Source organism: Homo sapiens, chromosome 1, assembly GCF_000001405.40.
Source record: "Homo sapiens chromosome 1, GRCh38.p14 Primary Assembly".
Lineage (NCBI taxonomy): Eukaryota > Metazoa > Chordata > Mammalia > Primates > Hominidae > Homo > Homo sapiens.
Genome location: NC_000001.11, coordinates 77159618 through 77174000, shown reverse-complemented (window position 1 = coordinate 77174000; position 14383 = coordinate 77159618). Strand labels below are relative to the sequence as shown.

Genomic DNA, 14383 nt, shown 5'->3' with positions numbered 1-14383 from the left:
TTTGAGTTTGCAAAGGCTTTTAACTGCTCAAGATAATTTTCGGAGCTAGCTATGACATGAACCCCAAAATTCCTTTTCCCTGGAAGGTGGAGACTAAGAGAAAGTACCACCACATGATTACACAGTTAAGCTCCCAAGGACAAAACAAGATGGAGACCTCAGGCAGTTTTTTTGTTTGTTTCAGGGAACTGCAGCAACGTTTGTTATTGACCAGCTTGCTGGGCCGTCTTTAATAGTGAGCTTATGGGGTCCTAAGCCTATGTTATATTCCTAAAGTACTCTTTATAACAGAACCATACAGAAAGACAAGGACACCAAATTTGCTACAGCTTAAGAATAGCCTCAGAATCCTTTTTTTGCATTAATTAAAACTTTACAGAGGAACTAAACAGTGATTTTTACCATTCATTTAACCAGTTTGCACAGAGAGAGGCCAGAAGTCTGGTAAGAAATTCTTGCCCTTTTGCTGGCTTGTCAGGTTTCTGGGTTCCCCTTCCCTGAGTAGCCTCAGTGACCCTGCTTACCACACCATAGTTCTGGGGGCCAAACTGCATCACAAAGGAAAATAATGGAACCACAGGCAAAATTATCTCAATTTTGCAAGTTGCTGCCCAACCAGTTGTATGGGGGACCCGAATTCTAATATTTTCCATTCTGGCCAGAGTAAAATATGTGTGCTTTAAATAAAAATATTGAAATCTTTTTAGAAGTTTCTGCATATCAGTAGGCATCCGTAGATGAGACTAATTTGGGAGCCTCATTGTTTTAAATGCATTTCACTGCGTTGTTCATTTGGAATGTTCTATTGTAAGTTATCTTTAGTAAGATCTCACCATTTCTGTAAGACTTCACTGCTTCTGGGGCCTAACACTTATTTATGCATGTATAAGCCAGAAGGAACTCAGTTCTTCAGAAATTAAGAATCTCATTTTTACCAAAAATATTGGCTTTGCTCTTGGGTTCCCTTGATTAACTTAGCCAATGATTTCTTTTCCTACCTAAGTGCACGAGAAAAATGAAACAAAGGGGTAGAACACAAAAATCCCTGCAAATTTATTATTATTATTATTTTTTTCTGAGGCGGAGTCTCGCTCTGTCGCCCAGGCTGGAGTGCAGTGGCGTGATCTCGGCTCATTGCAATCTCCACCTCCCAGGTTCATGCCATTCTCTTTCCTCAGCCTCCCGAGTAGCTGGGAGTACAGGCACCTGCCATCACGCCCGGCTAATTTTTTTGTATTTTTTGTAGAGACGGGGTTTCACCGTGTTAGCCAGGATGGTCTCAATCTCCTGACCTCGTGATCCACCCTCCTCCACCTCCCAACATGCTGGCATTACAGGTGTGAGCCACACCACCCCTGGCCCCTGCGAATTTTTAAAAGCCAAATTTTATAGCCCCTGCAATATTACCACTTACTACCAGTTTCTTTCTGACCCATTCAGATGTAAGAAGCCTCTAACTGGATTCAAGTCAGTTAATTACTGGATCAAATTTGATCCTGCACCCAGGTCAGTTGCTGTCAATTCACTAATTGGCAAGCCCCCAGAATCACAGCAGATTCAGAGAGACTCCAATGCAGCCACATGGCGGAAGAAGATTAGAGACAAAAAAAGCGAAGTGAGGTACAGAAATTGGAAGTGAGATACAGAAACAACTGGATTGGTTACAGGTTGGCATTTTACTTATTTGAACACAGTTTGAGCACTTGGCAGTATATGGGTGGTTGAAGTATGGCTGCTGGGATTGGCCAAGACTCAGTCATTGTTACAGGTGCATACTCCTAAATTGGGTTTTCAATCTTGTCTACCTATTAAGTTAGGTTGTGGTTTGTCCACCAGGACTCAAATATGGAAGTATGGAGTCCTTATCAGGCCGTTTTAGTTTGCTTAAACAATTAAGGATGTCAAAATACAAAAAAAAAAAAAAAAAAAATTAAATGTAGAACCAGACTTGAAGCTCTTCTGTTAAACACAGCAGCAGGCATTTAGTTTTTGGAAAATAATGTCATCTTCAATGGGATTAATGTTTTTAGGGTATTATTAGTTTGCTAGTTTTGTTAGAATTTAATTTATAATTTTCTCTTGATTTCATAGTTTTGTAAGAACTATAAGCCTACGTAGTTTGTTTGCATTTATATGCTTAAGTACTGTTATATAAATAATTTAACACTTGGATCAAATGAGAATTATTTTTTTCTCTAGAAAAGAGTTCTGTACATTTCTTAAGTTTTAGAAACAGTGAATTAGAATATGTGGTTGGACTTCAAAACGTTTGAAATCCATTCTGTTTCCCAACTTCTCTTTTTCCGTATTATTCCAAGTACAGTGTTTTATAATATATTGATTATGTTAACAGGTCATAGTACTTATATTGAGGCTTAAAATTATCTCTAAGAGAAATGTTGATTACATTTATGATTTTAAGTTGAAGTTAGTACTTCTTTCTGATTGATATTGACATTATATAGCTATTGAATAATTATTTAGTTTCACAGAGTGAAATTAACCCTAAACAGAAAACATAGCCTAAAGAAATATTCTTTTTTTTTTTTTTTTTTTTTTTTTTTGAGGTGGAGTCTTGCTCTGTTGCCCAGGCTGGAGTGCAGTGACGCGATGTCGGCTCACTGCGAGCTCCGCCTCCTGGGTTCATGCCATTCTCCTGCCTCAGCCTCTGGAGTAGCTGGGACTACAGGCGCCTGCCACCATGCCCGGCTAATTTTTTTGTATTTTTAGTAGAGACAGGGTTTCACTGTGTTAACCAGGATGGTCTCGATCTCCTGACCTCGTGATCCGCCCGCCTCAGCCTCCCAAAGTGCTGGGATTACAGGCGTGAGCCACTGTGCCTGGCCAGAAATATTCATTTTTATATTGCCATTTGGAGGTCAATTCAGTCTTGTTTAACAAAGGAATATATGATTGATATTTATTTAATGTAAATTAATGATCTCAAGTTTTAAAAAAGAGAAGATGTATTTTCTGTTTTAAGAGGAATGACTCACTATTCTGTGAAAATGAATCAGTAACAGCTGAAGATCTGATCTTTGAACGTGACAGGGTTGGAACACTTTCAAAGTAGAAATCTAGCCAATTTTCAAGAAAAATAATGTTTCAGTTTTGAACTTTAATGTATTTGGAACATATGTAGCAGAACATTTTCTTCTTGCTGTCTCCTGCCAAACTAATTACGTATGCCACATTAATTTTTCCCTTATGCTTGGGAAACTCAAGATATGGTAGAATGGAGAATTTCCTGATTGTTACTCACCAGTTTTAATGGTAGAGTGAAGATGAGAAGTATCAAAGAGAGATTTTATTTCCTTCTAAAGAAATTATATGCAAAAATTAAAACATTTCATTCACTTAAAATTATTTACTGAGTACATACTGTATGTCAGGCCCTAGTATGTAGTATGAGTGATACAGTGGTGAACAGGACAGATATAGCCCCTGCCCTCAGAGAGCTTATATCCTAATGGGGGTGGTGGTGATAGGAGATGATGGGGATTTCAGATTCATAGATGTCCTGAAGAAAATAAAACACACAATAAGATAGAGTACCATAGCTAAGGCTGGAATTATATGAAGATCTGGGAGGAGTGAAGTCTAAATTTGGTCAGTAGCCACTTAAGTGGGAAAGGCTTGGCATATTCTAAGAACAGAAAGGCCAGTGTGGAGGTAGCATAGAGAATGTGGGTGGTAGAGGCTGAAGTTGGAGAGACAGAGACCAGATTATATGAGCCTTTTAGATGATGTAAGGAGTTGCAGTTTCTCTCTAAATGCAATGGGGATGCATGGAACTGCAGGTGAACAAAAATAAAAATAAAAAAAGATATAATGGGGAGTCCTTGGAAACTTTTAAGTGGGAACATTTAATAATTTGACTTATTTAAGGAAGATCACTCTGGGGGCTATTAGGAGAATGAACTGAAAGAGGGTGAGAGTAGAAGCAGGATGCCAGGTAGGGAGCTATTCCAGCATCTAGCCAGAAGATGGTGGTTGCTGGTGTTAGGGAAATGGAGTGGATTTGTGGATCTTGTGAGGAGTGATTGGCTTGGAGGTGTGCTCTTGTGCTAAACTGATTGTACTTGCTGATCAGTTGCATGTTTTTATACTCAAGCATTTGGGATTCTGAAAGTTAAATTCTTTGGGACATCATAGTTTAACGTGGACTCTGTAAGTCTTGAGAATGTAAAATTTTACTAAAAAATATTTTTGATGCTTAAGGAAGACAGTTTCTTTAGCTTCCCTTTGCTATGTGGCATAAAGTATACATTGTTCAGAAAAACATTGTAACTTGAAATTCTGTTCATAAGTTTATGCCAGATTGCGCCAATTTCTCTACTTTAAAATGTATCGCACACAAGGATATGAAAAAAATAATTAAAGTGCCTTCATAACTTTATGCCAGATTGCACTAATTTCTCTACTTTAAAATATATAGTACACAAGGATATGAAAAAAATAATTAAATTGCCTTCAACTATGTAGTTGAAAATTTTTTTTTAAGGAGGAGAAAAATGAACACAGTAGCTACATGATATAAATAAATTTGTGTTTAACTTTTTCCTTTTATCTAAATTATATATTTACTGGATTTTTTTTCCCTAGTCACATTGTCCTAATGCTTGCAGATGATATGGCCTGTAATCCTAGAAATCCCAAACCAGCTACAGTGTTTAGTCACAAGAATATGGAACTAAATGTGTATGGAGATGATGTGGAAGTGGATTATAGAAGTTACGAGGTAAATTCTTTAATCTAGCCACATTTTTAAAATGGCATTGTTACTTTTAGGCTCTAAAACAATGGCAGAATAAAATTGTCTTATTATTTTTCTTTAAATTTAATTGTCACTGAAGCCTTGATGTAACTTCTCTGAAGTTCATATTAAGGCAATGATATATAAGTAAAATATTAAAACATGAACATTTTATGTTTTTATCTAGGACAGAAAAACTTTATATTGGCTTCAATGTTAGAGTATTATAGTGAGTTTTCCTGTGTCAACTTTCTTTTACAGTAAATATATTTTATAGTAAATGTGTATTTTTCATATTTGACCTAAAATTCCAAGTTTATTAGTTTTAGTAATTGTATTAATTGTGGAAAAACTATAGTGACTATAGTTTCAATATACTTCCAGTGTTTTTTATGAATATGTGATAAGAAATAAAAATGTAAATGTAAAAAATGGTATTATACTCTATTTTCTCCCTTTGAAACTTCATTTTAAATATAAAAGATTGTGAATACGCTTAATATTTGAAGTCTTCTTTTATGAAGTCTTCTTAGATAATCCTTCCCCTTTTACCAAGCCTACCAAAAGTAAGACACAATTTCCTGTGTGTTCCTAGACCACTTTTGAAGCAATTTTAAAAGCATATCTATCTCCTCCTAGACTGTAAGCTAAGAGGGCCTGTGTCTCATGTATCATATAGCTGGCAAGTACCTAGAGCCTGGTGTTAGGCACTCAAAAATGTTGGCTCATTGAATTAAATATGTATGTTTAACCTTTTACTTGTTTATTTAGTCATATTTTAGGAAAATATAGGCCAAACATTTTCCTTCCTTGTTGGCCAACAAGAATTCCTGTTAAAACAATTAGCATTTTGCTGTCTTGCAGGAAAAATGTAAATCAAACAGTTTACACACGCACAAATGTGTATACATACAATTTATACACTCATGTTCTAGGAAATAGTTGAACAAGAAAACTGGATAGATTTTCTACTTTTTAAATGTAGATATGCATAATATATGACTCAGCTGTTGGCTTTAAATCAGTGTTTTACTCTCTATAACTTTAAATATGCCTTCAAAGAATCCCAGAGGGATAGAAATTCTAGATTGGGAAAATCTCGTTTAAAGTGTTATGAATTTTTTACATGTTAAAGATACCACTAACAAAATCTGAGCAACAAAGTGCATTCAAAAATTAAAGATACGTAATTTTGGGGAAATATATATGGAACTTTTTTTTTTTCTTTTTCAACCTTTATTTTAAATTCAGGGGATATATGTGCAGGTTTGTTACAAAGGTATATTGTGTGATGCTGAGGTTTGGGGTATGATTGAGCCTGTCACCCAGGTAGTGAACATGGAACTATTTTATTTCATGGTTAATCTATAATTGACTAAGTAGTTGTACAGATTAGCTGCAATAATGTAGTTGAATTTATTTAAAAATTCTTATATTTTGTATCTTCCCACAGAATTGCCTATGCAGAGGGATTAATAATTTTTATTTTTTATTTTGCTAGAGCTGGAGTCTTGCTCTGTCACCCAGGTAGGAGTATAGTGGCCATGTCATAGCTCACTGCAGCCTTGAACTCCTGGGCTCAAGTGATCCTCCTGCCTCAGCCTCCTGAGTAGCAGGGACTACAGGTGTGCACCACCTTGCCTGGCTAATTTATTTTATTTTTCCAGAGATGGGGGTCTTACTAGGTTGTCCAGGCTGTTTTTGAACACTTGGCCTCAGGTGATCCTCCTGCCTCAGCCTCCTGAGAAGTTGGAATTACAGGTGTGAGCCATCATGCCCAGCCAGATAAATAATTTTGCAGCTTTTTAGTAGTTTTTAAAGGCAGCACTTCACATAGCATTTAAAGTTTTAAATTCAGAACTTATTTTTCTCCAAGGTAGTTTTACTTTGCTTGTTTTTGTTTTTTGTTTTTTTCTAAGAGACATAGTCTTGCTCTCTTGCCCAGGCTGGAGTGCAGTGGTGAACTCCTGGGCTCAAATGAGCCTTCTGCCTCAGCCTTCTGAGTAGCTAGAACTACAGGAGCATGTTACCATACCTGGCTATTTTAAACATTTTTTGTGTGTGTGCATAGAAATGGGGTCTCACTATGTTGCTTAGGCTGATCTTGAACTCCTGCCCACAAGCAGTCCTCTTGCCTTGCCTCACAAAGTGCTGAGTTGATAGGCATGAGCCACCATGGCCTGCCTTCTTTGTTAGTTTTTAGTACTTTTAAAAATAGTAACAAAGTTACTTGGAGGTATATGTTTAAATGAATATATTTTAATTGAGTTATATAATTTTTGGGTGTTTTATTTTCAGTTGGTGCTGAGTAATATATGGAGAAAGAACAATGAACATTTTTGAAAGTAAAAAGTAATTTGTCAAGATTTCCCAGGTTTTATTTCATCTGATTTTTCTTGTTTTTTCCCCCTTAGGTAACTGTGGAGAATTTTTTACGGGTATTAACTGGGAGGATCCCACCTAGTACTCCTCGGTCAAAACGTCTTCTTTCTGATGACAGAAGCAATATTCTAATTTATATGACAGGTAATTTCATAATTTAGAGTTTTTATAGTAGAGTATATTGAAACTCTTTGAAAAGAAAGGCAAATGGAAAGAAATTTAAACACGTGAAATGATTTTTGGTTAAAATGGTTTCTCATGTAGTTATATTTTCCATAATGTAGAACTATTTGAGATGATATCTGAAAACAGTATAACATTTTGTGCTGTTCCTGATTTTCTTATCTCTATATTTTTTTACTATTGACTTGGTAAACTTAGCACCTTTTGCTTGGTATCCTGCTACAGCATCCTTCAGTTTTGTTCTCCTGCTAATCATCCTGTGAAAGTGTCTAATAGAAATTGCAAATCTGTCCCTCTTCTGCTTAAAACTTTATAATGGTTTTCCATCTCAAATTTTGCTGTACATGAAGATTACCAACTGTAGATACTTAGGCCTTATTTTAGAATTCTTACTTAATTTTCATCTGGGTTGGGATTCATGAAATTGCATTGTGGATATACTCCTCAGATATGAGATACAGTAGTCTTTTGATTATACTTTGAGGAATATTGGAGATAAAGTGTACCATAATATAATATAGTTATCATATGTATTACACATAATAATATATGTAATGATTTAGCTATATTATTTAGTTTGTCTTAGTTCTTAATACTTTTTCTAATTCTCTTCCAAGCTTGAATGTTCTGTCCTTCAAACATTTGTTTAAGCTCTTGCATTTGCTTATGACGTCTTTTCAGTCCACTTTGCCTGCTTGATTATTCCATATGGTTTTAGTTTTAGCTCAGGAGTCACTCCCTTCCATGACTTCCTTTCTAAGTCTAGGGTGACTGATGTTTCCAATTACCTGGGACAGTTGTAGTTTACACCTGTTGTCCCAGTGTTATTATTAATAGTTTCTGCTTTCTCCTTCAGAATTGGTATGAATAACACAGCTTACATTTTTCTTATCTAAAGATATTTCTCTTCTCCTTGGCTGGTCTGGACTTTCCTCTGTGCATGCCCATGTTAATTTTTAGTTTCTTTCATAGCATTTAACTTACTATTACTTTATTGTTTGGGTATCTGTTGCCTTCACTGTATTTTGAATTCCAAGATGTCATTGATTATATATTTCTTGCTTTTTTTTTTTTTTATCACCAGTTGCCTGTCTTGTAGTAGTATTCGGTAAATATGGATGTTAATCAAAAGATGTTCTATAAATTTTTTGGAGGGCATTCCATTCAACTGATGATAAAGCAGGTGCAGAATGATTCTTAGATATCACATGTCAACATAGTTAATGACCCCTACTTAGTGGCTTTTCTCTATCGTGTTGCATTTATTTATAACTTTCAAGGCTTAATTTATAAACTTTATAAATTAACTCAATAGAGTTAATGAAGCCAGGAAAAATTTTATTTTACTTTATCTGAAAATTACAAGGAATTTTCAAGCTTTTATGGCAAACAAGATGAAGTGCAGTTTTTTGTAGCTTAGCTTTATTTGATGTACTAAACTAAAGGATTTATTATTATTATTTTTTGTTTGTTTCCTGATTCTGTTGGAACTCTTTCAGGGTAACTGCAGGCTTGGAACAAATTCCAGTAGTTGAAGATAGGATTTGATAAACTATGGCCTGTGAACTGGCTGCCTGTTTTGGAAGTTTTATTGAAACACAGTTGCATCCATTTGGTTTACACAGTTTCTGTGACTGCTTCCATACTACCACAGCAGAGTTCAGTAGTTGTGCTAGAGACAATATGGCTCACAAGCCAAAAATATTTACTACCTGATCTTTTGTAGAAGGTTGCCAGGGTCTGTAAGAGAATAAAAACGTTGATAATTATGATAATATGATAATAATATTTATGGAGGCATAGTATACGTCAGGCAGTATTCTAAATCATTGTGGCTATTAACTCATTTCATTCTCACAGCAGTGCATTGACTTAGGTGCCGATATTCAAGGTTGCTGTATGTGGTTGTGTGGGTTGTATAGTGCACCCAAGAATCTGGCCAGGGTGTTAAGTGGGAACTGAAATCTCGTATGTGCTTACACTTACTAAGCGATCTGCCCTACCACAGGGTTGTATTCTAATGGAAGGGAGGGATACTTTTTTCTCCCACAAAGGCATAGTCAACTAACCACTTGTAAGCCTGCAGGGCTGCATGTATCCAAGAGGAAGGTGAGGAGACTAGTTTTTTTTTTCTACTTTCATGCCCAGTTGAAAGTACCTTTTAAAAACCTGTGCAAAGCAACTGTATAAGTAAGCTAATGATAGTGTTGCAGATACATTTCTCACTTTATGGCTGAGGAAACTGAAGCATAGAAATATTAAATTATTTTCCTAAACTAACATGGCATAGTTACCATTTGAATCCAGGCAACCTGCCTCTAGATTGCATACAAATAGCACAATCTTCTGCTCCACCTCTTGTAGTAAAAATGTGGGACTAGCTAATGTCTTCAGCTTCTTTCTCATCAAAAATGTTTGCCTGGTATTTGAAACATTTTGTGAATGGAAACTCATTTCTGATATAATAATGGAGCCAGTGGAAGAGCATAAATATAGGTTTCTGTAATTGAATATTAGAAACCCTATTAAAGATATTATATCTGCTATTTTATATAGTCTATCATTCTCTTTTTAATTGGCATAGTAGAAAATTCAATTTGTTTGTTTTCATAGTATACATTTTAGAGTATAAAATAACAAGCGATGTCAAAATGTAATGAATGAAGTAAATGTATATATCTAGATATATGCAGTTTGCATTAAAAAATCTATTGATCTTTTTTACTCTTTATACAAGGGCATGGTGGAAATGGTTTCTTAAAATTTCAAGATTCTGAAGAAATTACCAACATAGAACTCGCGGATGCTTTTGAACAAATGTGGCAGAAAAGACGGTAATTAGCAAATTACTTCTTTTCATAAGCTATATTCATACCTAATTTTCACATGGTTCGTAGATTTGTAATTTTTATTTTTTAAGATTTTTAACTTATTTTGACAATTTCTTTGACTCTTTTAAATTTACATTTGTTATTTCCTCTGAACTGGGTTGTTTTTAAAAGAAAAACTGAGAGTTATTCTATAACATGAAATAGTTAACCTTTTAAGATTCCATCTCTTGTTATTTAGCATCTTTTTTAGAGGAAATAAGTGTCCCTCCAACCAAGTTAGCTATTATTATGGAGATTATGAACATCTGTTTATTTTTCAACTTGTACCTATTCTTTCTAGCTCATTCTTTGGCCCCTAATGTTATAGACGTATTTCTTCTATGGAAAAAAAAATCGCTGAAATTATGATTAGCATAAAATTTGTAACAACTCACATTAAGGATGATTGTTAGTAACCCTTGCTAAGCATCTCTTTAGTTGGAAGCTGTCATGCATATGACTGTAAGTGAAAAAACTTTTAACTTGATTACTTTCAATAAACACTTATAGGCTATCTTCCATTCCTATGGCAGAAAGTGGAATATGATGCTTATTCTGCCTTCAAAGTGTTTACAATCTAATGGAAAAGAGAAATATGTATACAATGATGCTACAAAATAAATACTGTAATGTTAAAATAAAAGCATAAGCAATGTGTGGAAGTGTTGAGGAAGCTTTTACTAGGCACTGATTATGTCTTATTCATAGCTTACAGTTATAGAATGCATACTGGGGGCTGCATACTGTATTTTACATCTATTGTCTCATTTAATTTTACAACTCTATGGGGTAGATACTATTATTATTCCCTTTTTACAAGTGAGTGAACTGAGGCACAGAAAGATTAAATAACTTGTGGAACTTTACACAGCTAGTAGTAACTTGCCAAACTTGACACAGCTAGGATTCATGCCCAAATGGTTCAGTCCTAGAGCTTGCTCTCTTGTTTACTCCACAACCTCTCCTAACTTTGGGTGTTTCTAATGCATAGGAGCCTCCACATATTTTGCCACAGAACAAATGTGTCATATTAATTGTGTCTCCTGTCACTTTCTTCGATGATACTGTGGTTCAAGATTCAATGCTTTGTTTTCTAGGTTCCATGTTAGCTGTTTACCTAGACCCAGTGTCTGAGAAAAACTTCCCAGAAAATATGTCTCCTCTCTACTTTAACTTTTGCCAGCTAGCCAGCTTATTGTGCAATGGATACCTGATTATATTATTCTTTCATTAAAACAACAACAAAAACAAAAACCTTTCATGGTTTCTCCAAACTTATAGGATAAGATCCAGACTTCATATGGTATCCTTTACAAATTGAACCTATTCTACCTTTTTGAAACCAATTTCCCTCCATTCTCCCAAATTTACTTTAAATCCTAGCTACACAGATCTGTTCCCAAGCACTTATACTTTTTTACATTATGTGCTTTTCTCTCTGCTGGAATGTCATCTTCTTTTCTCTGTAAAACAAAATAACATCCCTCATTGTCCGTATTGGGCATCACCTTTCTCTGATCTGCTTTTCTTTGCAGTTCCTCCTTAGTCCTTTCTCAGTGTTCATTCAACACTTTGATTTTGTTAGACTCTAGGCTATATGAGGGCAGGGACTATTGCATCTCCAGCATAATATCAGGCACATTGTAGGCACTCAATATATATTTATAGTACTCATCACGTTCCAATGTAGTTGTATGTTTGTCTGTGTTCCACTTAGAGTTTATGCTCTTTGAGTATAGTTACTAAGTCATACTTCTTTTTCTGAACCTAGCTCAATTTCTATGACAGCATGGGTGCCAAATAAGTGCTTGTTGAATGGAATATTCATTTAGATTCTGAATTATATGGCATAGACAAGGAAGAGGGAAAAGAGCTGGGGCAGCCACCTTGGGCACAATAAGACTCGCTGTGGTTTCCTTGGACAAATTTATACCTTTAACTTTTCTGAGGTCAAATTTCTGTTGGGAATTCTGCTGAAAACTTTTAGCTAATGAAATGACTAAGATATGATTTAAACATCTTACAAAAGTATTGTAGAAATATTAGTGTATGATTTACAGCATGATCCTTGTCAAAGATGTTATCATTTTTCTTTCAGCTACAATGAGCTACTGTTTATTATTGATACTTGCCAAGGAGCATCCATGTATGAACGATTTTATTCTCCTAACATAATGGCTCTAGCTAGTAGTCAAGTGGGAGAAGATTCACTCTCGGTATGTGCATTTTCCCCATTTGTAAACTGTGTCTTTGGAATGTGCAGCTATTTCTGAAACCAATTAAATGCTTTATGAATGTATCTGTTCTTTCTTAGACTAATACATTAGAAGGAAATTTTGGTTACATTTAAAACATTTTGTTATAATGATACTGTTAGAAATACTTTTTTTCCCCCTTTCCATAGCATCAACCTGATCCTGCAATTGGAGTCCATCTTATGGATAGATACACATTTTATGTCTTGGAATTTTTGGAAGAAATTAACCCAGCTAGCCAAACTAATATGAATGACCTTGTAAGTATTCACTTGATTTGATTATAGCACATAGGTATGCTAACCTTAATGTGAAAAGAAGTGTATTATTCCCTGCACTCCTAGAGGATCTTGTTTTATGTGTTGAATTATAGCTTTTAAAACTATTTGATATCTACCTTTTACCTGTATATTAGTATTTCTCTGTCTCTCTACAAGAGGCCTGATGTTTTCCTTTATTTACTCATTTTCTTTTCCTTACCAGAAATGTACTTTTTTTAGATTCAACTTTTGAAATTCTACATATTCTTCAGGGGCCACCTCAGATTGTGTCTCCTTCAGGAAGTCTCCCCGAATTCTTCCCTGTGGGAATTTCTTGTTTTTTTTCAGAGCCTCCATAGACCTTTATTTCTCCTTGGTAACATTTACCACAGTCTTTTATTGACCTTACTAATTGAATGTAAGTCTTTCTCACTGAATGGGAAACTCCTGGAAAAGAGAGACCTTTTCTTACATATTTTTGTGGGCCCTACAATTTATAGTATAGTCATTTGACAAGGCTTGTTGAATTTAATTTAGATTTTTTTCCTGAATTTTTTTGTGCTGATTCTTTTCATTAAATCTACTTTGAAGTTGCTGTTGAAAGTAGGCATAACAAAAAGCTTGAAACAACAATTCTAGACTGGATAATTTACTATGTGTCAATGACTTTCATTCTTTTCTCCATTAATTTATAGTCTGTTTATTCTTTCATAAATGTTTCTTGAGTGTTTGCTAAGTGCCAAGCACAGGCTGTTCCTAATGAAAGAGGCAGATGCCGTTCCTGCTTTCATGGGACTTAGAATGAAGGTGAGACTGAGTAGACAGGGCTCTGTCCTCTAGCACTTCAGCCAAGCAGCTTTGCATTGATCTCTTTAATTATATATAAATCTTTTAGGTAAATTCTCAGATTCTGAAGCCCACTGCTATAGGCTGTGAAATTTGATAGAACTACTGTATTAGTTCATTTTCATACTGCTATGAAGAAATACCTGGGCCTGGGTAATTTATAAAGAAAAAGAAGATTAATGGACTCACAGTTCCACATGGCTGAGGAGGCTTCATAATCATGGCAGAAGGTGAAGGAGGAGCAAAGGCACATCTTACATGGTGGCAGGCAAGAGAGCGTGTGCAGGGGAATTACACTTTATACAACCATCAGATCTCATGAGAACTCACTATCATGAGAATAGCATGAGAGTAACTGCCCCACATGATTAAATTACCTCCCACCAAGTCCCTCCCATGACATGTGGGAATTATGGGAGCTACAATTCAAGATGAGATTTGAGTGAGGACACAGCCAAATTATATCATTCTGCCTCTGGCCCCTCCCAGAGCTCCTATTCTCGTATTTCAAAACCAATCGTGCCTTCCCAACAGTACTCCAAAGTCTTAACTCATTTCATCATTAACTCAAAGTCCACAGTCCAAAGTCTCATCTGAGACAAGACAAGTCCCTTCTGCCTGTGAGCCTGCAAAATCAAAAGCAAGTTAGTTACTTCCTAGATACAATGGGGGTACAGGCATTGGGTAAATACACCTGTTCCACTTGGGAGAAATTGGCCAAAACGAAGGCACTACAGGCCCCATGTAGAAATCCAATAGGGCAGTCATTAAACCTTAAAGTTCCAAAATGATCTCCTTTGACTCCATGTCTCACATCCAGGTCACATATGA

The 14383-nt window shown here is 35.5% G+C and overlaps 1 protein-coding gene across 1 annotated transcript in view; it reads left to right on the top strand.

The window, feature by feature from the left end:
- Positions 1 to 14383, top strand: part of PIGK (phosphatidylinositol glycan anchor biosynthesis class K) — a 130442-nt gene that overhangs the window by 45430 nt on the left and 70629 nt on the right. The window contains exons 4-8 of the mRNA NM_005482.3: positions 4606 to 4741; positions 7171 to 7282; positions 10059 to 10155; positions 12290 to 12407; positions 12596 to 12706. Coding sequence (NP_005473.1) covers positions 4606 to 4741; positions 7171 to 7282; positions 10059 to 10155; positions 12290 to 12407; positions 12596 to 12706 — 574 coding nt within the window. The remainder of the gene's footprint in view (positions 1 to 4605; positions 4742 to 7170; positions 7283 to 10058; positions 10156 to 12289; positions 12408 to 12595; positions 12707 to 14383) is intronic.